Raw genomic sequence first — 25,633 nt, 5'->3', positions numbered from 1 at the left:
ATGCACCATCGGGTAGATGTTAGCACTGTATTTCTGGAATGAGGAATATGGGTGGAGGAACACGTTAGGGAATAGGATAGATGATGAATTCTCTTTGGCACATGCTGATTTTGAGTACTCATTAGACGGACAACCTAGAAGAGGTGTTGAGTAGGAAGTTGGATATTTGGGTGAGGAGTCCAGGAAGCAGAACTATATTTGGGAATCATCTGCAGGTAGATGGTAACTGATTCTACAGAAGTGGATGTAGTGTAAGAAAAGAAGGAGGCTTAGGGCACAGTCCCAAAGATGCCAGCATGTAAGAGATGGACCAAAGAGCAGGAAGGTCCAGAAAGAGGCCCAGGCAATGCTCAGAGGAACACCAGGTTAGTACATTGTTGGGAAAGCCAAATGAGGAGAGTTTTTCTAGTAAGAGAGTGGGATCAACTCTGAATGTTGAGAGGCTGCATAACATGGTGGTCAGGACTATGGTCTCCTTCCTGGGTTTGAATTCTGGCTCTACTATATATTAACTCTGACCTTCAGCAAGTTACTTTGTCTTTCTATGCCTTAGCTATCTCTTTTCTAAAACAGGGAAAACAACAGTATTTACCTTAAGGGTATTTGTGATAATGAAATCATTAAATATATGTAAAGGGCTGTGAATGGTGACTAACACAGTAAATGCTCCCTAATTGATTGCTTTTATTATTCGTAGTAGTAGGATTAATATTATCAGATGTGTTGACCTTCAGAGGAGAGCCACGTTTCCCACAGAAGGACCTGCCTTAGTATCCCTGCCATGCTCAGTCATTGGTGGCAGCAGCCTGTGGGAGTTGCAGCCTCACTTAAAAGTGGTGCTGGATTTCCAAGAGCAGAGTAGTTGGGACCCTGGGTCAATTATGCTCCCTGCAGTTGGATGTCTGCGAGGCACATCCTCATAGCTGTCACAGGTTCCATGTGACTTGCCTTTTTTATGTTTGTAGGAATAACTGTTCATTCTAAGGGGAGATTATCATAGAATTTCACCTTAAAGAAAGCAACCTTAGATATCATCTGGTTCCAACCTATCATTTTGTGCATGAAGAAACTAAGGCCAAGAAAAACTGAGTATTTCATTGGTATTAGGAGCCAGAGGGGAACACACTTCACCAAACTATTCACCTACTCATTTGTCTACCCAAAATTTATTAAGTAACTACACACATCAGGCACTGTACTAGGCACTGAGACTACAGGAGGTATATGAGAGAAGCCCCATTATATTCCAACATATGACCCTACCAAAGGGGCAAGTTCTCAGGAGCTAGGGGGAGATATGGAAGTTAGTACATTGGGATGGGTGGGTGAGGGGTGTTCTGGAGGAAATGGGGCTCAATATGAATGGAACTTAGCCATGGAACTTAGGAGAAGTGGGAGGAGGCTGTATGGTGGGGAAGGTGTTCCAGGCAGAAAAAATAGCCTGTGCCAAGGACAGCACCATTAAGAACATGGGGAGTTGGTGGCCTGAAAATTTGAGTGTAGATCGTGGTGTGTGTTAGGAGCAGGAGTGAGAAGGGCAGCAGGGGAATGGTGGGATAGAGAAGGCGCAGGGAAACAGCAGGGGGCAAAAGAAAAAGGCCTGTGTCCCTCCTGCAGGCTTCAGACAGTGACAGGTAGATTTCAAGCAGTTGGAAATATCAAGAATTTTGTAATACACAAAACAGCCTCCTTAGAAGTAGGGTGAGCTCACTAAGCTCCAACAATATTTCTGAAACAGTTAGATGTGAAATCACACAAAACCAAATAGAAATTTGTTGAAATCTGATATTTTTAAAAAGCCTAATCAGAAACCAGCCACGAGTCCTTGGTACAGGTGGTCAAACCTACTTCATATGTACCAGTCAAAGTCAATTACTTGGGATTGCAAAGAATACTGCCTGGGGTTAACTAACAGGAGACAGTTACCAGAAGATAAAATTCATATACTGTTTGACATTACCACAACTCTCCAGAGAAATCCTCATTTTCTCAATCTTTATTGCTTTCACATGCCTGCTTTCAGGTGAAAAGGTGAAACTGAGAAATCTGAGGTGTATTAATTTCTCCCAAATCATTGTTTTTGATGTCGTATAAAGTGTTACTTATAAAACTCCCCCAAATGTTAATGACTAACACTTGGGCCATCAAAAATTTATTAACTTTGTTAATAAATTAAGATTTCTTATCTGCTGTAAGGAATTCCTTTCTCAGTCACAAAAGCATCTTAGTATTATAGTTCTGTCGAAAGATATAGGAGATTTGCCATCAAATCTACATCACTCTCATTTGTTAAAAAATGGAAGTAATTGTTTAAGAATCAACTCGGCCGGGCGCAGTGGGCCACGCCTGTAATCCCAGCACTTTGGGAGGCCGAGGTGGGCGGATCAAGAGGTTAGGAGATCGAGATCATCCTGGCTAACATGGTGAAACCCCGTCTCTACTAAAAATACAAAAAATTAGCCGGGCATGGTAGCAGGGCCTGTAGTCCCAGCTACTCAGGAGGCTGAGGCAGGAGAATGGCGTGAACCCGGGAGTCAGAGCTTGCAGTCAGCCGAGATTGCGCCACTGCACTTCAGCCTGGGCAACAGAGTGAGACTCCATCTCAAAAAGAAAAAAAAAAAAAGAAAAGAAATAGAATATCTAATTTTGGACTGTACTAATCCCATCAACATCCTCTGCCACCTTGGAAGGTCTAGATGGACTGGCCAGCTTCTCTCTCACTCTCTCTCTGTCTCTTCCTAAACAATATTTTGCACATATGAGGCTCAGGGAACCGAGTCTTGAGACAGGGAAATGCTAATGTAGGTGAACAAGTCTCTGTGGAGTGGAAGCCCTGAGCTGTGGGAGTCTTAGCTAAATGCTGAATTGCCCAGTTTCTTTAATGCATTATACAGCTTGCTGTCTACATTGATCAAATTAATCAGAAAATCGCCGTCTCCACAGCTGAAGTTAATTTAAAAACATTCCAGGGATTGTGTAAGTAGTGTAGTATTTCTTCATAGGATTCCTTATTTTCTGCAAAAATATACTGTGCCAGAATTCTTAGTATGTTTGTTTATGGTCAGATTCCAGAAAACTTCATGATATTCTCCAAGACAAATTGAGAAATTAAACTTCTTTTGCCGATGTTTAAATACATTTAAATATTGCCATATAAATGAAATAAAAGATTTTCTAAATAGGGACAACAAGGTCCAGCCATGAAGATTTTTGTTGGCGGTGGTTTTGATTTTTGTTATTTTTTTTATCATAGCTCCCAGTATGGCAAGTTCACTGTACTTAGCCAGTTAAAATTAAGTCTGGGTTCCCATCTACCATCAAGAAACAGAGTACAAGTCCAGCGGGTCCAGGGATACCCCAAGACATCTCACTTTCCCAGATGTGTAGGGGCTTATGTGCCCAGTGAAAAACTTGCCTGGGTTATAAAGCTCTCCTATACTAGTGTGTGTTGATGTGTCCTCAAATTTCTAATGCCATGACTGGTAGGGATAGTAGTAAACTTCAGGCAAAAGTTGGAACTTTCCATTGCTTCCTCTATTTCCCTCATTTATCTTCCAAGCTCAGGAGTTATGTGGAGATTGGGGATGGGGAGTGTCTTGGTTTTGGCTACCCCAGAAGCAGACCATGAGACAAGAATTTGCATGGAAGTGGTTTACTTAGGAGGTGAAGGGAACGTTGATAAAGGAGTGGGGAAGTGAGACTAGGAAGGGAAGGCAGTCAATAAAGCAAGTGTTATCAAGACAGCTACATTTATTCTCCCTCTCATTCATTCATTCATAGTAAGCATGGGGGAGAATGATATAAGATGGAAGATGGAGTTAGAGAAGTAGTCAAAGTCTAGGTCAAGTAGAGCCATTTATGTCATTTTAAGTAGAATGAATTTTATTCTTAATCTGGTGGAAAGTCACTGAAAAGTTTTAAGAAGAGGGCTGACATGGTCTAATTTAACTGTTAAGAGGAACACTTTGGAGCATGGACTAGAGGGAGCAAAAGAAAAAGTAAAAGGAAGCTATTGTGGTGGTTCAGGTGAGAGATAATGGTGGTGTAGCTGGATGATGGTAGGCAGGGGCAGAGAGTGGGGATAGAAGGAGATGGACTTGAGACATGGTTTGTAACAGGACTTAGTAGCAGATGTAATACAAGTGGGGAGGAAGAACCCCACCTGTCAGCAATGATACCCCAGTTTTTGGCTTGAGCCAGTTTGGATGCTGTTTGTTCTGGGGTGGGGAGAAAGGGTGAAGTGGAGGGAAGCAAGTTCTGAATGATGATCAAGAGTTCAGTTTTGGATGTCTTAGGCTCAGTGAGACATCTCAATGAATCGGTCAAGAATGCAGCAGAAAGAGGCTGGGGCTTGAGATTCACATTTTGAAGACATGAATATACATATAGATGGCATTGAAAGTGCTGGGACTGGGAAGATAACCTGGAGAGTGTAAATAAGAAAGAAAATAGGGTCAGAGATTAATCTCTGTGGAAATACAGCACTTTAAATCCTGTTGAAGAAGGGAAGAGTAACAAGTGTGGGCGAAGGCAAACCAGAATGTGTTGTATGCTGTGACGGTTTTAAAATATGTCCATAAATGATCTGATGCTCATCCTTTCAAAAGGTGAAGTTTAATTCCCCTCCTTTTATGTGGGGTTGTACTTAGTGACTGATATCTAACAAAGAATACTGTGGGAGTGATGGGGGTAACTTCCGAAATTAGGACACAGAAGGCATTGTAGCTTCCTCCTTGCTCTCTCTCTTGGATTAGTCACTATGGGGGAAGTCAGCTAACAGTTGTGAGAACATTCAAGCAGCCCTGTGGAGAGGTCCACATAGAGAGAAGCTGAGGCCTCCTGCCAACAGCCATGTGAGTACGCCGTCTTGGAAGCAGATCCTCCAGCCAGAGTCAAGATGTCAGATGACTATAGCATTGATCAACAACTTGATTGTAACCTTGTGAAAAACTCCAAGCCCAAGCAGTATGGCGATTCCTCAAAGAATCTACTATTTGAGGAAATAGTAGATACAGAACTACTATTTGTAAATAGTAAAAACAGAACTACTATTTGACCCAGCAATCCCATTTCTGGGTATATATCCAAAGGAATATAAATCATTGTACCATAAAGACACATGCACACAGTGTTCATTGCAGCACTATTCACAAAAGCAAAGACATGGAATCAACCAAAATGCCCATCAGTGATAGACTGGACAGAGATACTATGGTACATATACACCATGGAATACTATGCAGCCATAAAAAGAATGAGATCATGTTCTTTGCAAGAACATGGGTGGAGCTGGAGGCCATTATCCTTAGCAAACTAATGCAGGAACAGAAAACCAAATACCACATGTTCTCACTTATAAGTGGGAGCTAAATGATGAGAACCAATGGGCACAAAGAGGGGAACAACACACACCAGGGCCTATTTGAGAGTGGAGGGTGGGAGGAGGGAGAGGAGCAGAAAAAATACCTATTGGATACTAGGGTTAGTACCTGGGTCACAAAATAATCTGTAAAACAGCCCCCCATGACGTGAATTTATCTATATAACAAACCTGCACAGGTACCCCTGAACCTAAAATAAGAATTAAAAGACTCCAAGCCCTTTTGCTATGAATCTAAAACTGCCCTAAAAAATGTCTTAAAAAAACCCCAAGCCCCATCTTGCTAAGCTGCTCCTGAATTCCTGATTCACAGAAAATGTGTGAAATAATAAATGTTGCTTTAAGCCACTAAATTTTTATTTATTTATTTATTTATTTTTATTATACTTTAAGTTTTAGGGTACATGTGCACAACGTGCAGGTTACATATGTATACATGTGCCATGTTGGTGTGCTGCACCCATTAACTCGTCATTTACATTAGGTATATCTACCAATGCTATCCCTCCCCGCTGCCCCCACCCCACGACAGGCCCCGGTGTGTGATGTTCCCCTTCCTGTGTCCAAGTGTTCTCATTGTTCAATTCCCACCTATGAGTGAGAATATGCGGTGTTTGGTTTTTTGTCCTTGCGATAGTTTGCTGAGAATGATGGTTTCCAGCTTCATCCACGTCCCTACAAAGGATATGAACTCATCATTTTTTATGGCTGCATAGTATTCCATGGTGTATATGTGCCACATTTTCTTAATCCAGTCTATCATTGTTGGACATTTGGCTTGCTTCCAAGTCTTTGCTATTGTGAATAGTGCTGCAATAAACATACGTGTGCATGTGTCTTTATAGCAGCATGATTTATAATCCTTTGGGTATATACCCAGTAATGGGATGGCTGGGTCTAATGGTATTTCTAGTTCTAGATCCCTGAGGAATCGCCACACTGACTTCCACAATGGTTGAACTAGTTTACAGTCCCACCAACAGTGTAAAAGTGTTCCTATTTCTCCACATCCTCTCCAGCACCTGTTGTTTCCTGACTTTTTAATGATTGCCATTCTAACTGGTGTGAGATGGTATCTCATTGTAAGCCACTAAATTTTGAAGTATTCTGTTGCATAGCAATAGATAACTAATAAATGTGATATCCAGAAACCAAGCAGAACGTACTGAAGAGCAAGGTGATGATCTTTGTTGACGTTTGTTGCTTTGGTATTTTGAGTTTTAATTTTGTACTTAAATTCATTAAATCTGAGATATCATAGATTATAAGCATTCTATTACTATGTACATTAGAAAAGAAAAATGCTGCCAATTAAACTAAACTATAGCTCATTACCTTAATAATTCTGTGCAATTTTGTCATAATTCTGTGCATGAATTAGTCACGATCGTGTTAACTTTAAAGAACACAGAGCCTGCAATGGCCTGTTTGCTCGCTATTGTTGTCAGAACCAAGTCCAAACTCCTTGGCTCAGTGTACTGGGCTCCTCACAGCCTGGTTCCAGCCTGCCTTCTTTGCCTCTTGGCAGCCACTGGGCTTATTACCTAAGATTCTGGCCAGTCCACTTTCTGTATCTTGGGCTGATGCTCACCTTATGCATTCTTTTTGCAGGTATGTATCTATCCATCCATTCATTTACTCTTATGCAATACCTACTAGGAATTAAGCATTGGAATGTTTGCTTTCTATGCCCATTTTATAGCAGGTGGGCTCACATTTGCTCCATAAGAACACTATAAGTGTCATCCACTGTATTCAGTTTTCCCTGATTCTCTCATGTGGACTCAGTTTCTCTCTTATCTGTATTCTGTGGAATGTTTTATATGTTTTTATATATATGTATATATATAATATGTATATATATACACCCTATATAAACTTATAGTTTTATATGTTTATACATATGCATATAGACATATATTCATTGTTTGAAATGCTATACTGTATGTGTGTGTGTGTATGTATATATATATATATATATATATATATATATATATATATATATAAAATTCATATATAAATAACATTATGTGCCTCTCCATCCCCCTTCCTTGGTCATTTATTAATTTACCTAACTTTTAATTCAGCACCTACTATGTGCCAGGCACTGGGCTAGAACCTGGACTTGTATCCTTCCTCCCTGGCTTCCCTGGCCAAAAAGGAAAGAAAGACATTTTGATGGCCCTATGAAGTTGTCTAGTGAGGGAGGCAGTAGTTATGAATCTCTGGCATTCAGAAGAATGTTTGGGCACATCAACTGTTCAGTTAATGTTGCATTAAACTGAATTAATTTTAACACTTTTTATATTTTTTTTTCATAAACAAGACCTTCACATTGAAAACAGGTCAGTTATTAAAACTTACCCACTGGGACCCAGCAAGTTAACTGATGAAACTAGAAGTACTACTGATCTCTCTGGGTAAAATATTTCATGAAAAGTGACTTAATCATCCTTGGGAAACACCATGGCTTTTAAATCTGTCACTTGTTCAATGTGAGATTCTGGGCAAATCATTTAACAATCTATCCTTTTGAAATTCAGTTTACTCATCTATATAATTGGAGATGTGATCTGTAATTTACACATGGTCAACATTGCCAGTGGGACCTCAATCTCTGTTCTCCCCTTCCTTCTTAGTAATAGGACCCCTATTACATAGCTACTCAGAATATAGACTACATTTCCCAGCCTTCACTTCAATAATATGTGGCCATGGAACTAAGTTCCGGCCAATGGGATGTAAACAGAAGTGCCATGTGCAACACTTCCAGGATGTGGCTGTGAAGGGAGGATGATGTTCTTCATTTATTTCCTCTTATTGGCTGGTGATACAGATGGGATATTTATCTCTCAAATCTCATGTTTAAATGTAATCCCCAAAGTTGGAGGTGGGGCCCAGCAGGAGGTGACTGGATCGTGAGGGTGGATTTCTCATGAATGGTTTAGCACCATCCCCTTGGTGTTGTCCTCATGGTAGTGAGTGTGTTCTCATGAAATTTGGTTGTTTAAAAGTGTATGAGTGTGTGGCACCTTTCCCCGCCCTTGCTCCTGCTTTTGCCATGTGAGACACCTGCTCCCGCTTCACCTTCTGCCATGATTGGAAGCTTCCTGAGGCCTCACCAGAGGCAGAAGCCACTATGCTTCCTGTAAAGCCTGCAGAACGGTGAGCCAATTAAACCTCTTTTCTTTATAAATTACCCAGTCTCAGGTATTTCTTTATAGCAATGCAAGAACGGCCCAACACGGCTGGAATTTGGACATGTTTGCTGAAGCTCAAGAAGCCATCTTAGGCCACAAGGGGAGGGCCTTCTGATGGACCCATAAAATGGCAGCATCTGGGTCCCTGACTCCATTGAAAGCCAGCCATATCAGCCCAACTACCCACACCTTTGTGAAAGAGAAACACATGTCTATCTTGCTTAAGCCAAGGTTATTTGAGTTTTCTATCACTTGCAGCTAATTCTGAAGGATCAAAAAGCAATGTTGCCATGCTAGTTAGCTGCTATGTGCCCATTATCCATATTCTGACATTTCCTGCTTAAAACCCCCAATGTCAAATAGCTTGTGAGGCCAGTTTTCAATTTGCATTCAACTGAAAATAAAGATCAGGTGGACTTTTGTTTTTTGATCCTATGCGGTTTCTATCTTTTCTGAACGTACCTTATGTATTAGTTTGCTGGGGCTGCCATAACAAAGTACCACAGACTGGGTGGCTTAAACAACACACATTTATCCTCTCACAGTTCTGGAGGCTGGAAGACCAAGATCAAGGTGTTGGTAGGGTTGGTTTCCTCTGAAGCCTCTCTCCTTTGCTTGAAGATGGCTGTCTTCTTTTTGTGTCCATACATGGTCTTTCCTGTGTGTGTGTCTGTGTCCTAATCTCCTCTTTTTGGCTTGTTTTTTGAGACAGAATGGCATGATCTCAGCTCACCACAACCTCCGCCTCCTGGGTTCAAGTGATTCTCCTGCCTCAACCTCCCGAGTAGCTGGGATTACAGGAATGCACCACCATGCCTGGCTAATTTTGTATTTTTAGTAGAGACAGAGTTTCTCCATGTTGGTCAGGCTGGTCTCAAACTCCCAACCTCAGGTGATCTGCCTGCCTCGGTCTCCCAAAGTGCTGGGATTACAGGCATGAGCCACCATGCCCGGCCTGTTTGTTTGTTTGTTTGTTTGTTTGTTTGTTTGTTTTAAATAAGCTTTGGCAAGTTTTAGTAAAGAATAATCTTGTATGGTTTACCTTTCACCAGCCTGTTATGGCATGCTTCTAATGATATCAGAATCATCTGGATAAATGATAGCTAGTGTGCAGAATCTGTAGTATTTTCTGCATGCTGTGCACAATTCATTATTATTGCCACTGTAGTGATGGACACCAGTTTGGGCCAATATGCTGTAATAATGCTATTTCAGATTTCCTCAAAGCTGTACAATTGTTGGCAAGGATGACAGTTTCACTTTGCCTTGTCTGATCATCTTCAGAGTCTTCTTGTACTCCAGCATGTACTTTTCACTTTTCATAATGAGTTGGAGCCTACAGCTGATTGACTCCGGTGATTTTTTTTTTTTTTTGTCTTTTTTGCAGCCACAGTCTTCCTGTCTTAGGTGTGGGATGGCCCCCAGCCAAGAGCATCCACCAAGATGGCTGGGGAGGGAGAAAGGCCCTAATCTCCTCTTCTTATGACAGCAGTCATATTGGATAAGGACCCACCATAATGAACTGATTTTAATTTAACTGCTCCTTTAAAGACCCTATCTCCAAATGTAATTATATTCTAAGGTAGTGGGGTTAGGGCTTCAACATATGAATCTTGAGGGAGTACACAATTCAGTCCACATCACCTCAGGATACCTGCATGTCCTGCCCCCACTGTCCTCAGAGGAGTTTTTGTCCTGAAATTTGTCACCAGGAGCACAAGTTCATCAGTGGTAGTTCCCTGTTTTACTGGCTCAGTGGCAAATAGCTGTTGGCACATTGTGGAACCTGACCAGCCTCATTTCACGATTCCTGAGAACTTTTTGTCTTGGCAGGAGCCAGCTCTTCCTGTGTGCACAGTAGGCTGAAAGTGCAGAATCCCCTTCCCCAGAAGCCCTCAACCAATGACTGTTGGGATTACAAACACCCCGGCTCCCTTGTCTTCACAAGGGATAACTAGGATTCTCGTGTTCTACTGTCTCCTAGAATTCCCCAGCAGGATTGACAGAGTGGTGACTTATTTTTACGACACTTCTTTCCCTTTTCTGTCCCACTTCCCCACTTCTCTACCAGAACTTCCTGGGGTCACCTCTCAAATAAATTACACACAGAGTCTGCTTCTGAGAAAATGCAAACTTAGAAAGGAAAGTGGTGGTACTGGGTGGATGGAGCACTTACTCTACATATGTCCCTTGAATGTGCTGAACTAGAGTCAAGCTAAACAGGATCACTGGTGATCATTTGTAAGAAAGCCCTTTGTAAAAATGTCAGCTTTTCTGTATTCACTTTTTTTGAGGGAATAAATTTGGAATAGTGGGACAACACTGGTCTTAGAGCAGAAGACCAAATCAAATGTAATTCCTGGGAAATCACCTAATTTCTTCAAGTTTCTCCATTCCCTTGTCTGTCAAATGAACACAATACCCATTTCTTAGGGTTGTTGAGAGGATTGATTGAAATAACATTGAAAATGGTTGACACTGACTAGGGCCTCAATAATATCTGTTGAATGCCAATCTGATTTATGAAGACTAGGTAATACACTTATTTTCATTGTAATGTTTACATAGCCTTGATTTATGCTCATGAATTACATATAAATAGGACTTTAACACTTTCTAAGCCAGTGAAACTAACTATTGAAATAAGGCTGCCCAGAAATGATTTTTAAGTTGTAATTAGATGATTATTATTTCCCAGAAACACACAGCTCTTTAGTTTTGGGTACATTCTCACAAATTACAGCTTGAAGAATAAAGAAATAAATGATATACCAATCATTCGAAAATCACCAAAATCATGTTTAAAGATAAAATCTAGCCCATAGAAATAAGAACAACAGACTTACAGCTCAGGCTTCCTGTGAAAGGCTGAATAACGCCCCCACCCCGCAGAGGTATACATCCTAATCCCCGGAACCTGTAAATGTTATCTTATATATCAAAAGGGACTTTCCAGATGTGATCGAGTGAGGGCTCTTGCAATGAGCAGATTATCCTGAATTATCCGAGTGGGCCTGATATAATCACAAGGGTTCTTCTTAGGAGGAAGAAAACAAGGAAGAATCAGAGAGAAGGCAAAGTGACAAAGGAAAAAGATATTGTGCCACAAGCTAAGGACTGTTGGCAGCCTCTAGAAGCTGGAAGATACAAGAAATGGAACCTCCCTGGAGCCTCCAGAAGAAACCAGTCCTGCTGATGCCTTAATCTTAGCCCCATAAGATTCATTATGGACTTCCGGTCTTCAGAACTGTAAGACAATAAACTTCTCTTGTTTTAAGCCATGGAATTTGTGGCCAATTTTTACAGTGGCACTTTGCTACCAGGGCTTTGAGAAAAATCAATTACCCACATAGCATGTGGTCTCTGTAAGTAAAGCCTCTCAGCAGGAACCTAGTCATTCCCTCCTCTCTCACATTATTTTTACTTGAATTCAGTAGAGAAAAAAATATAAAACAGAAATATGTTGTAAGGAAGGAGTTGCTCCAAACGTTAATCTCCAGAATAGCAAAGTTAATAATATATTTATCTTAGGTACTCAAGGCAAAAAGATCCCAGTGTTAGGACTTAGAACACTCGAGATGGAGTTCAGATCAATAAGTGTTCTAGACCAGCACTGTCCAATAGAAATAAATATCCATATATGCCATTTAAAATTTTCTAGTAGCCACATTTTTTAAATGCTAAAGAAACAGAAGCAATTAATCTTAATAACAATTTTATCTAATGCAGTATATCCACATTACCATTTCAACATGTAATCAATATCAAATGATTAGTGAGATAGTTCCTGTTCTTTTTTTTGAAAATTAGATGTGTATTTGATACTTTTTGCAGCACATCTCAACTTGGACTGGTCACATTTCAGGTATTCAATAGCCACTTGGGGCTCCTGGTTACCATCTTTGCTGTATTGGACAGGTCTAGGGTATCTAAATAGTTCCAATACCCAAAGGACATAAAAAATATAAGGCAAGCCAAATTCTGAAGCTTAAGGGCAGGTACATGCATGGAGCTAATGATTTATTCATTTGATGAGCGTTAATTGTGTACTATGCACTAAATACCATTTAAGAAGCACATAATTTTCTAGGTTATAAAATCATAGTGCAGTGTTTCAATTAAAAAGAACTGATGCTTATACTGGAAATCTCTATACAGCAGCCACAGTTTTTCCTATAAGTTGTGAAACCCCAGGAAATAACCAGTAGACACAGTTTTCTGCAATGGGTGCCTTGCCTTCTCTGTAACAGTGTCTTATCCATAATGTGGAATCTAGAGCTGATTAAACATGGGTCCTGGACATTCCTGAAGAGCTGACCACTTGACATTTCCAAGCACATTGAGCAAATAATAAACACACCAGCTCATAAACTTGATAATCGTCTAAAGAAACCATGGTTCACATCTTGAAAACTGCAGAATTGCAGAATCCTGACATGGATTCTCCAGTTTAATATGCTTTGGTTTATCCAGGGGCTTTTGGCTTTTAATTTAATTTGGTGGCACTTTGAAAGTGAAGCTCCTGGAGGTCAGTTTGCTGGCCGCTAAAGAACTATTAATCTCATCTCCAAACAGCATTTGGTCTTTTTTAAGTGGGCTTTCTAGCAACGCAAGAACCTCTAGCATTCAAGGAAAATGTGATTATGAGCAAATTGCATCTGCTTACATTTTTATCATGAAAAGGAAATTGAAACTTGCGATCATACATTCTAAGAACCTGGTTTGAGGTTTGTTCTGTTTTAACTTCGAAATCCTTTAATACCATGGCTAACTCTGATGAAATATTTTTTCCTGTAAGTCAAACAAAGATAGGCAAACCTTCGAGAAGCCTGTACCAAACCAAAGCTCTTATCCTACTCTCCTCAGGAATCATCACTGAAAAATTTCTATAGTTCAGCAGTCTCCGCTAGGAGCAATTGTGCCCTCCAGGGACCTTGGGCAATATCCCAAACCTTTTTTTTGTTGCCACAACTTGGTGGTGGTGGTGGTGGTGGGGGGTGGGGTGGGGTCAAGGTTGCTACTAGTATCTAGTGAGTAGAGGCCACAGGTGCTGCTAAACATCCTACAATGCACAGGGCAGCCCATCACCCCAACAAATAATTATCCAGCCCAGCCCGAAAGGTCAATAATGCTGCGGTGGAAAAACCATATTCTAGTGGACACCTAAGTAGAAAGCAAGACATCACAGTTAGAGAACCAGAAAACCTCTTCCGTTGCCGGAAGGCTGCCCTAGTGCCCTGGTGAAGAACAGACTTTGGGCCAGAATACCTAGGTTTGCACCCTGGCTCCATCTCTTACTGGCTATGCTTCCTCAGGCAAATTACTTTACCTCTCTGTGCCTCGTTTTTCTCTTCTACAACACGGAGATGATGATAATAGTACCTTACACACAGAGCCATTATGGCTTTGGGTAGGTTAATAGTCCTGAAGTGCTTAGAACAGTGCCAGGTCGACAGTCACCATGTAAGCGTGCATTTACTAAGCGTCTTTGCCGATCTCTGGAAAAAATATTTCAGGTCTCAGCTAAGCTTAAGGGCAGTAGGGAACGGCTTCAGAGTCTGCATTGCCATAGCAAGAATGAGAATGGTTGTCATCTGACAACCGTGTCCTTTCTTTCCAGTTCATCAACCCTAATCAGAGAGCAGTGAGGAGAGCAGCCCGGCTGGCTCAGCTCAAGAACAGTAAATGCTTTATCGTCCTCGGTTTCTTTCCCTCCTTCCCCAGCAAAACTAGCGACTGACAAGCACTTGGTGTCCTGTGAATAGAGTGGAAAACACAAAACCGCACAGACACAGAACCCACCCACCGACACGCATACCAACCCTCACACACCTGCCCCTACAGCAGGTCTGCAGACCATCAAGCCCGCACGCACCCACGGGTCTGCGTGCAGAGCCTCCCTCCTCCTGCAACCCTCCGGACGCAGCCAGGTGGGGCACAGCTGATGCAAAAGGAGCTAACTAGGTGCAAAGCCCCGCCACAGGAGAGCAGGGAGGAAAGCCCGTGGGCGCTCCCGGCCTGGTATCCAGGTTAAATCCCGTCGCAGCGCGCACAGGCACACGTGCACACTCACACCCATACACGCGGGGGTGCCTGCAAAGACATGGGGCCCCAAAGCGGGACCTCAGGCCGGGGGTGGGGGGAAGCCAATCGCCAGTCAGACACTCACCTGGCCGCGTTCCCGAAACCACCTGCCACCCAGGAGAGCAGCAGCGGGAGCGCAAGGCTCCAGGGCAGAGGCATTCTCGCACGGGTCCTCCTTCCTCCTCCTGAGCCCCCCTCGGGAGGGCGCCGGCCGGACCCCGTAGCAGCTAAGCCGCCGCCTCCTCTCTCCTCAGCCGCTCGGGTCCTCCGCTCCACTCGCAGTTACCGGGTGCTGTCCCTGCAGTCTGGGAGGGGAGGCCAGGCACCGCGGCAGGGGCGCTCGCGGCCTGGGGAGGGGCTGGGGGCGCCCTGGCAAGCCTGGCCGAGGCTCCTCTGCGGATGAAGCTGGACGGGGTGAGCGAGGGAGGGCGGGGCGGGCTGTGCACATCTGGCTGGGACCCGCCTCCAGCATGACCCGCGCATCCTCCGCGCTCTCTGTTCACCCAGAAACTTCCCCCAGATTCAGGTCACTTCACGCTTGTCAGAGTCACCATCTACTACCATGTATTTCAGGCATGGGGCAAATTTCGGTGATACCTGCACTCCAGGACTTAAGAATTTAGTTGAGAAGTCGAAGCAGGATGGAAGGATGCAGGTTCCTAAGACATGATCCCTCACTTCTCTTTGGGTTTTCACGTTCTCCCGGTTTTCTTCTACAAACTGCAAATAATGGGATGCTAGAGCTGGAAGGTCACTAAGTCCTGGGCAACCCTGTCATTTGGCAAGTAATCTCTCAGGCCCATTTGCAACAGCTTACTTACATGGGACCCCAGATGACATCCCAATATAGTAACCAGTGCAGAAATTCATGGCAGAAACATGAATGCTATATGAATTCAGATCCATTTGGGTACTGACACATTCTTTGTTCTGACAACGTGTTACATTAGAATGAATGACTGATCCCTTTCTGTCCTTCCTACGTCCACACCCTTTGGCTTCATGGTAGGCAGACACTATGACCCCACACCTTGGCTTTGGACTTGGCCGTGTGACTTGTTTGATCAATGGTTTAAGGGCAGAAAAGTTGCAGTGTTCCAGTTCCAAGCCTAGGTCTTAACACACCTGACCCTCTATCATGGACATGAGAAGACCTTGCACCACCTAGCCTGGTGGTCCAAGGCGAATGAGAAACAGGTGAAAAAGCTACCTCGTCAACCTGCAGATCTATAGCTTGAAGCAGAGCTACTCGGTGGAGCCTCATGTATATTACCCAATCCACACGTATATGAATGAGCTCAGCTAAGGTTGCCCGGCACCAGCCAATCTACTGAGGCTTATTGTGATAGTCCTCTGACACACAGTGGCCCAGTGTGAGAAATGAAATGAAAAAGGATACAGAGAAAGAGGAGGTTTATCTTGATTGGAAGCTTGATTCATGGTTTTATAGGCATATGCCTTAATTCTGGCCAATGAAATGTGAGAAGTAGGGAGGGGGGAGATTCTTGCTGCAGAATCTTGCTTTACATTGTAATAGATGTTCTTATTGGTGCAAGCCATGTTTAGTTGGGACTTCTATTTTACAGTTGAAGGTATCCCCATGGATTCAGTATTCTTGGGTAACTAGTTAGACCATTGAGCTGCTCGTAATTAATAGTGTCAGACCTTGTCCTAAACACATATGTTATCTGATTGAACATCCACAAGCCTGTGGATGGAGACCATTAGTTCCCCCATGTTTGAAGTGTCAAGAAACTGAGTCGGAGAGGTTAAGCAGCTTGCCCGACCAAGGTCATACAGCTAACAAGTATAGAACCAGAACTGGAAACCAGGGCTTTTCCCCATTGGGCTCTGCTGCTGTTATATCAATCTCTTTTCTCATCTTCTCACGTATTGGCAGATTCACATGTCAGATGAGTATCATGAATAAGGTAATAAGATGAGCTCTTCAAGGTTGTCATCAAAACACTTTGAACTCTTCATACCATAACTTATTTTATTTACTGAAATATTAAAACTAAAAGAAAATAATATAAGTTATGAACTCTATACCTGTGAGGATCTTAAAGAAAATGGAATATAAAATTTGTCTTGTTGTGGGTTTCCCCACAAGCAGGCCCTGAGGCAAGGATTCAAGTAAAAGTAGTTTATTCTGGAGGTACAGAGAACATGGGTAGGTGAGTGAGGAAATGAGTTGGGAAAGAAGACAATATCAGGCATATATTAAGTTATCATTGTGAGCAACTGGAGGTTCATGCTGCTGGGGATCTCCCAGAGCCAGCATAGAACAAGCATCTCCAAATGATTTTACCTAAAAGGCAAGGGAACTGGGTATTTATACACCACTTCCATTCACTCATTACCTGAAAGCTTCAACTGTGGTACTGATCCTAGAACTCAGTCTTCTGTGCTGAAGACAGAGTGGGGCTTACAGCCAAAGAAAGCCCTCAGGCAAATGGCTAGTGATACTGACTGTTGAAGGTCCTACTGAAATGTAAGGCCTGAGGGGATACGGGTAGTGGCATGACATTGGCAGCTACCTAATATCTGGAACTTGAATCGAATTAAAAATTATGGATTTTTGCCCATGCCACTTCTCCCTTAACATTTGGATACTAATCACTCCCTCCTCCAAATAAACCATTACTCAAAAAAGTCCTAACTAAACATGATTAGTCTAAAATGTGAGGGCTATCTGCCTTCTTAGTCCTGAGTTACAAAGTCAGAATAACATCTTGCATTGACATTATCTGTAACTTTCTAGCTTTAGTTTCAGTATTTTGATGCTTTGTGCTTTTTCTTTGTCAGCTGAATTCTCTTTTGTAGGCTTAAAGGAGGTAATGGACATTACAACAGGAAACTTTGGGGGAGGTCAAACACTCCCCAGCCAACCCACCTATTATTTCCTGGGGGAGCTGTGAACAAAAGAGCTGTCACATAATATGAGCAACAGAGAAGGAACCTGCAAATGATGTGTTGCCAGGTGAGAAGATGTTGGATACAAATTGCCACATGGAGGCAGTTGTTTTTAGTAACTGCACTGGTGTTGCTGACTTTGAAGAGGAACCTGGAAACTGATCTTTAGGGGACCCTACTTCATCATTCTACAGAGAAAAAACAATCTTTGATCAGAATCTCATAAAATCGTCCGTGCCTTTTACAGGGCTACATTTTCTTCCAATCTATTTCCACTTAACCCCCTGTGTGGAACAGGTGTGATGGGATATTTCTGTGCTTTCTGAATACATATACATGACACACGTATAAAACTTTTAACACTTACAATGTGCCAGGCACTGAGATCTAAAAATTATTGTAATATCAGCACCAAAAGCAAAGCATTGTCAGAAGAAAGAGCTGCATAGAAGAGTGCCTAGGCCAGTGTTTTCAAGATTTAATGTCAGTACAGGTTGCCTGGGGATCTTGTTAAAATGCAGATTCTGTTTATTTAGGTCTGAGGTAAGGTCTGAGAATCTTAATTACTAAAAAGATCTCAAGCGACACCCATGCTGCTTGTCTGAGGACCACACTAGGGGTAGTGAGGGTCCAGAAATCACCTGGATCAGTAGTTCTCAAGTTTATCTGCACATTGGGATCACCTGGGAAGCTTTGAAACTACTGATGTCTGGGGCTCCACCTTCCAAGATGCTAATGTCTGGGCTATGGCTAGAGCATGGGCACTTTCAGAAACCCCTCTGGTGATTCTAATGAACAGCTGATGTTGAGAACCACTAATATGAACCAACTCCCACATTTTACAGATGCAAAAGCTCAGCTCCAGCCTGTGGAGCAACTTTCCTGATGTCCCACATAGGATGAATTAATGTCTCTGTGTTTCTACTATAGAGTCCTCCCCTTCAAACGTCATGATGTTTTATTGATCATCATTCCTACTGAAGACAAAACTGGCAACTCTTAATTGTTAATCTTCTGTGTTAACTGTAGCCCAGTGCCTTGTTCTAGAAATTGATATATTTTCCTGGTCTGTTTCTTTCCATTTCTTCTTATTCAGTGAAAGGAGTCAATGAAGAATTATATGTCTTTTGATGCAGACACTGCTAAATTCAGTATGGGAAGGTGTTTCTTGAGATACACATCAATTTTCTTCATCCTGTGCCTGTCAAGAACCCTGCTCTTGGAGCTCTATGGTAGAAGAAAAGTCCCAATCACTTTCAATCTTCTTTTCCTTTCTTTTCCACCCATCCCTCCTTTTCTCTCTCTCTGTTCCTTTCCTTCTTTCTTGCTCACACATTTATTGGGGCCCTACAAAGTGCTGGGCCCTGTGCCAAGTAGTGGGGGCCCTTGGTGGAAATGTGTCCACCAGACAGTTCCTGTTTCTTTTTTCTCCCTGGTAAAGTGGGCTGGACGACTAACACGTGGTTCTTAGAATGTCTGGTCTCCCTCAACAATATAATTCTCACCTCTTGTAGGGCAGGAAAAAAAAACTAAGGCAAGATTAAAAGGGAAAAAATGACACCTTGATGCATTTTTCTCTCAAGTTTTGCTAGGTCTTAGAACTCACCACTTAGTAATTGAGGGAGAGGAAGAAATTGATATTTGTAGAATGATTATTATATGTTAGATATTTTAAAAAGAGTAATCATTTAATCTTGACAACACCTGTTTAAGGTGGGCATTATTATCCCATTTTACAGATGAGGAATGTGAGGTTTAGAGCAGCTAAATATCTTGTCTAAGATTACCTAGCAATGTAATGAAAAGAACATGGGCTTTGAAGTCAGACCTCACTGGAGATTAATTTTGCCACCAGATTTCATTCTTCATAGCAGGGATTTTTAACCTGGCAAATGTGGGGTAGTATCAATTCACCACAAGAAATAGCAAATAATACTTTATGTGTAGGAGAGTATGTTATGGTGAGGGACAACATGGCTTTCCTCTGATTTTTTAAGGGGGGTGGTCCATGGCTCTTTAAATGTCATTATTAAATAAAAGAATCCCCTTGCCTGTGATTGAAACCCCATTGCCTAGATGTTAGCTCCCTTGACTTTAAAGCAAGTTCATAAATTTCCAACTGAAGGCATTCAATCAGCAGGGGCTTTTCTTTTTGTCTTCATTGTGGGGAGGATTACTGCTTGAGTCTATCCTGTATGCTTTCTTCTTCCTGGTCTGGGTATAAATATCCTTTGCTATTTTATTGTTCACAATTGAATGTAATAATAACTTGGCATACTCTTGCAAGGCTTGTCTATTTATTTTTTCCTACATAAATTCTATATAATAATTTGTGAGAGCGAAACCCAGGCAACTCCGTTTAGATACACCTTAAAAGTAAAGACTCTTATTCAGAGTCACTCCAACTTGATTTGGAAATGTTTGGTTGAGAAATGCTCTGTGGACTTAAAATTGGAACTACATTTGTGATCCCTTTGTTTTAAAGAAATAAAACCGGTAAAATTTTCTAAAACAAAAAATTTCTTTTTTTCTTTTGTAGAAAACATATACCTTCCTATTTTCAGAAAGTTCTCATCTATGGTTTATAGGCTTGTTCATTCCTTTAACAAATATTTACTGTCCCTTCACCAATCATGTGCTGGACACTGTGTTTGGTTGGAATATAAAGATGAATAAGACATAATCCCTCCCCCGAGTCACATAAATGTAAACATGTTATTAGAATTAATGACATAAGTATTAACAGAAGTACTTCAGGGTGCTGCAGAAACAAGGGAAAAAGATCAGTTCTTCCTGCCCTATACATATAACTGTCCTTGTTTTATCCCCTACTTTTACAAATCATTTTATGAAGTAATTTTTAGACGGCAAGATTTTTAGAAAATAGAAAATCTTAAAAATGATATTCTCTCAGATAATAACTTGTTGTGAACCACGTTGTTCTGACACAAAGGAGTTCTGCTACTCTCGAGTGAGGCAGCATTGTTGGGTAAAGGAGCCTAGGACTGGAAATTAGGAGGATGAAGATCTAGTTCAGGAATCTACCAACTAACTTCCTCAACCTGGACAAGCCCATTCACCTGTTTGGGCCGCACTTTCTACATCTATATCTCGGCATACCTCACTTGATTGCAGTGCACTTTGTCGTGCTTTGCAGATACTGTGTTTTTCACAAACTGAAGGTTTGTGGCAATTCTACATTGAGCAAGTCTATAGTGCCACTTTTCCAACAGTATGGGCTCACTTCGTGTGTCTGTCACATTTTGGTAATTCTCACAATATTTCCAACGTTTTAATTATCGTTATATCTGTTATGGAGATCTGTGATCAGTGATCTTTGATGTTACTATTGTAATTGTTTTGGGGTGCCATGAACTGCACTCACAAAAGACGGCAAATTTCAATAAATGTGTGTGTTCTGACTGCTCTGCCAACCTGTTGTTCCCTGAGTTTTTCCCTCTCCTCAGGACTTCCTATTTCCTAAAACACAATAACATTGAAATTAGGCCAGTGAATAGCCCTACAATAGCCTCTAAGTGTTCAAATGAAAGGAAGAGTCAAAGGTCTTCAGCCACAACATTCCCTTAAGCCAAAACCTAACCCAGAGCAAGGCCCTAACTCTTCAATTCTATGAAGACAGTGGTGAGGAAGCTGCAGAAGAAAAGTTGGAAACCAGCAGAGGTTGGTTCATGAAGTTTTAAGGAAAGAAGCCATCTCCATAACATAAAACTGCAAGGTGAAGCAGCAAGTGCTGATGGAGAAGCTGCAGCAAGTTATCCAGAAGATCTAGCTACCATCATTGATGAAGGTGGCTATACTAAACAACAGATTTTCAGTGGATATGAAATAGCCTTCTATAGGAAGAAGATGCCATCTAGGATTTTCATAGTTAGAGAGAAGTCAATGCCTGGCCTAAAAACTTCAAAGGACAGGCTGACTCTCTTGTTTGAGGCTAATGCAGCTGATGACTTTAAGTCGAGGACAATGTTCATTTACCATTCTGAAAATCCTGGAGCCCTTAATAATTATACAGAATCCACCTGTCTGTGCTCTATAAATGGAATAGCAAAGCCTAGTTGACATCACATCTGTTCACAGCATGGTTTACTGAATATTTTAAGCTCACTATTGAGACCTATGGCTTAGAAAGAAAGATTGCTTTCAAAATATTACTGCTCCTTGACAATGCACCAGGTCACCCAGGAGCTCTGATGGAGATATGCAACAAAATTAATGTTGTTTTCATGCCTCCTAACACAACATCCATTCTGCATCTCATGGACCAAGGAGTAATTTCAAGTCTTATTATTTAAGAAATACATTTTATAAGGCTATAGCTGCCATAGATAGTGATTCCTTTGATGGATCTGGACAAAGTAAATTGAAAACCTTCTAGAAAGGGCTGAGTGCAGTGGCTTACAGCTGTAATCCCAGCACTTTGGGAGACTGAGGCAAGGATTACTAGAGGCCAGGAGTTCTAGATCAGCCTGGGCAACATAGTGAGACCCCATCTCTACTAAAAATAATAAAAAGTACTTTCTGGAAAGGATTCACCATTCTAGATGCCATCAAGAACATTCGTAATTTGTGGGAGGAGATCAAAATATCAACAATAACAGGAGTTTGGAAGAAGTTGATTACAACTCTCATTGACGACTTCGAGAGATTCAAGACTTCAGTGGAGGGAGTAACTGCAGATGTGATGGAAGTAGCAAGAGAACTAGAATTAGAATCTAAAGATGTAAATGAATTTCTGCAATCTTATCATAAAGCTTGAATGGATGAGAAGTTGCTTCTTATGGATGAACAAAGAAAGTGGCTTCTCGAGATGGAATCTACCCCTGCTGAAGATGCTGTGAACATTATTGAAATGACAACAAAGGATTTAGAATAGTACATCAGCTTAGTTGATAAAGCAGCAGCAGGTTTTAAGAGGATTGACTCCAATTTTGAAAGTAGTTCTACTGTACATAAAATGTGTGTCAAACAGCATCACGTGCTACAGATAAATCTTTTGTAAAAGGAAGAGTCCATCAATGCAGCAAACTTCATTGTTGTTTTGTTTTAAGAAATTGCCATAGCCACCTAAACTTCAGCAACCACCATCCTTATCAATCAGCAGCTATTGACATCAAGGCAAGGTCCTCCACCAGCGAAAAGGTTACAACTCACAGAAGGCTCAGATGATCATTAACATTTTTAAAAAATAAAGAATTTTTAAGTTAAGATATGTACATTTTTTAGACATAATGCCATTTCACACTTAATAGACTATAGCATGACCTAAACATAACTTTTTTTTTTTTTTTTTTGAGACGGAGTCTCACTCTGTCGCCCAGGCTGGAGTGCAGTGTCGCGATCTCGGCTCACTGCAAGCTCCGCCTCCCGGGTTTACGCCATTCTCCTGCCTCAACCTCCCGAGTTGCTGGGACTACAGGCGCCCGCCACCATGCCTGGCTAACTTTGTTTTTGTATTTTTTTAGTAGAGACGGGGTTTCACCATGTTAGCCAGGATGGTCTTGATCTCCTGACCTCATGATCTGCTCGCCTCGGCCTCGCAAAGTGCTGGGATTACAGTAAACATGACTTTTATATAAATTGGGAAGCCAAAAAATTTGTGTGACTCACTTTACTGTTATAGTCTCTTTATTATGGTGGTCTGGAATAAAACCTGCAATGTCTTTGAGGCATGCTTGTATTTGCCAAGGATTCTGGATCCTCAAGTGTCTTCCTTTAATGTTCTGTGATTCCAACATTTTCTTTGGCAGGACAGTGAAAAAAAAATCAAACATGACCCCAAAATACTGTATTTGAAATTGCAAGGTTGGGTTAATTTCACCAAAGAAGGGATGTTAATCCAATGAATAAATGATCAACTCCCCCCGCCCGACCCCGCATTTTGTTAACTAGTTCCTACAATCCTACTGAAGTGGTGGCCAAAAATAGTGGTTTGTACCCTATGACTCAACTGTCCTAGGCCATAGCTGATTGGACCAGGGTGGATATAAAAGCCATGTTATTCCTTTCAGGAATGTGGAATTGGGACACTAAGGACTGTAGTTGTGGTGGGACAAGTCAAAGGCATGTCCAAAATCAAGTTAGAGCAGGGGAGCTCTAACTCAGTTAGTTGGGGGAGCAGGAGGAACAAGTCCAATGAATCAGGAGGGAATGCTCAGGAACTGGGTGGCCTTGGATATATCTATATCTACATGTATAGGTTGGTGCAAAAGTAACTGTGGTTTTGCCATTACATTCCATGGCAAAAACCGCAATAACTTTTGTACCAACCAAGTACATCTACATATATATACATTGATATCTAGATATTTCTCAATATCTATAACTCTATGTCTATAATTATATCTCTATAACTTAACTATAATTATATCCATATTCATCTATATCTACATATCTCTAATTATATATCTATCACTATTGCTATATCTATATATGCATAATTATTTCTCCCTATGTCTATATATCCCTAACAATATCTCTTCTGTATCTCTATCACTATATCTGTATCTACCTACATGCCTATAATATCAATACCTCTATATCACTATATGTATAATTATAGCTCTATCTCTATATCTTAGTTATCTATATCCCTATGGCACTATCATTGTACCTATATCTGTATATCTATAATTATATCTCTTGCTATAACTACATTTATATATTTGTAACTATATCTCTTTCCATTTCTCTATCACTGTATCTATGTCTATCACTATATGTATCCCTACCACTATCTCCCTATCTTTATCTTAAGTTAGTTTTATGATTCTTCTGTTTCATTAAGACCTGGATCTACTTGCTGCCCTCCATCTCTATAAGACTCCCTGAATCATTTTAACATACTTCCTTTGAATGTTGAGTTAGTTTGAATGAATTTCTGTTTCCTGCAGCCAGAGGAGTCCTGGCTAAAACACCATTCCATTTTACCTCCCAGCTTTTTGCATAAATGTCAAACAAACAAAAAACCACACACACACACACACACACACACACACCAAAAAGTCCCCAGCAGTTGAATCCTAGCTCATTGTTTGGCCCCACACCTTCCATTTTACTGATCTTGTAAACGTGATGTTTTTGGGTGTGGTATGAAATTTGTATGGTGTGAAAATGAAAAAACAAAAAAATCGCATCTTTTAAATTTTGTTTTCAGTTCAACAAAATACACCATAAGTTCCCTAAATAACAGATTTCTGATGTATGTAAACTCTAGTATTTCCTGCTTTTGTCAAATGCATTTTACTGCTTGGATGCCAGGGACAAGAATTTATGTAACTGGGAGCTTATTGTAAAAACACAATATGTTAATAATTACATATTTCCTAGATATAGTTATCTTTGCCAAACAGAAAAAGAAAACTTAATAGTATTTTGTTGATGTTAAATGGTCTTCAGATTATGAAAATAAAATATCCCGTATTTGCTACTGAGTTCCAGTAACATCGCAAACCATTTTAGATGAGTGTATATATTCAGGAATTAATAATACAACACAGCTCTGATGGAAATATTTGTGCTTAAAGTTTACAGCTAAAGGTTGATTTTTCTTGTTCTTTCATTCAACAAAGGTTTACCTAGTGCCTACCATGTGCTGGTCACTGTGGGACAGAGAAGGGGACAAGAGAAAACTGCTCTAAGAGAGCTTCCTCATAATGAGGAAAGATAGACAAACAGGTACACAAATATATAAGTAATATAATTGATACTTAATTTGTAGACAGATTTTTTAAAATAAGCTGAACATTTTGTTGCATATATACATAAATATATAAGTAATATAATTGATAACTTTAATTGTAGAGAGTTATTTTTAAATAAGCTGAACATTTTGTTACATATATAGACCTTTTTCTTAATTTGGCTTTATAATAACAGGAAAAGGATTGAAGGTTTTAGTAAAGTTGTTGGTCCATGTTTGGTTTTACACAATATTTATTTAAACCACAACTGCCTTCTAAAGTATTTTTCATAGAAACATTTTTACAAAGATTTTTTAAGTAGCAAAACATTCACTTGGATTCTTTTGGATAAA

The 25,633-nt window shown here is 40.9% G+C and overlaps 1 protein-coding gene and 1 pseudogene across 2 annotated transcripts in view; both read right to left on the bottom strand.

Moving 5' to 3' along the window:
• The window catches only part of EGFL6 (EGF like domain multiple 6), a 63,975-nt gene extending 48,891 nt beyond the window's left edge, over positions 1-15,084 (bottom strand). For both annotated transcript variants that reach the window (NM_001167890.2, NM_015507.4), the window contains exon 1: positions 14,750-15,084. In NM_001167890.2, coding sequence (NP_001161362.1) covers positions 14,750-14,823 — 74 coding nt within the window. In that variant the 5' untranslated portion in view covers positions 14,824-15,084. The remainder of the gene's footprint in view (positions 1-14,749) is intronic.
• RPL30P15 (ribosomal protein L30 pseudogene 15) lies at positions 9,614-10,044 on the bottom strand (annotated as a pseudogene).

Source organism: Homo sapiens, chromosome X (assembly GCF_000001405.40).
Source record: "Homo sapiens chromosome X, GRCh38.p14 Primary Assembly".
In the NCBI taxonomy this organism is placed as follows: domain Eukaryota; kingdom Metazoa; phylum Chordata; class Mammalia; order Primates; family Hominidae; genus Homo; species Homo sapiens.
The sequence above is the reverse complement of the archived record's forward strand: the minus strand, read 5'-3'. Positions and strand labels throughout refer to the sequence as shown.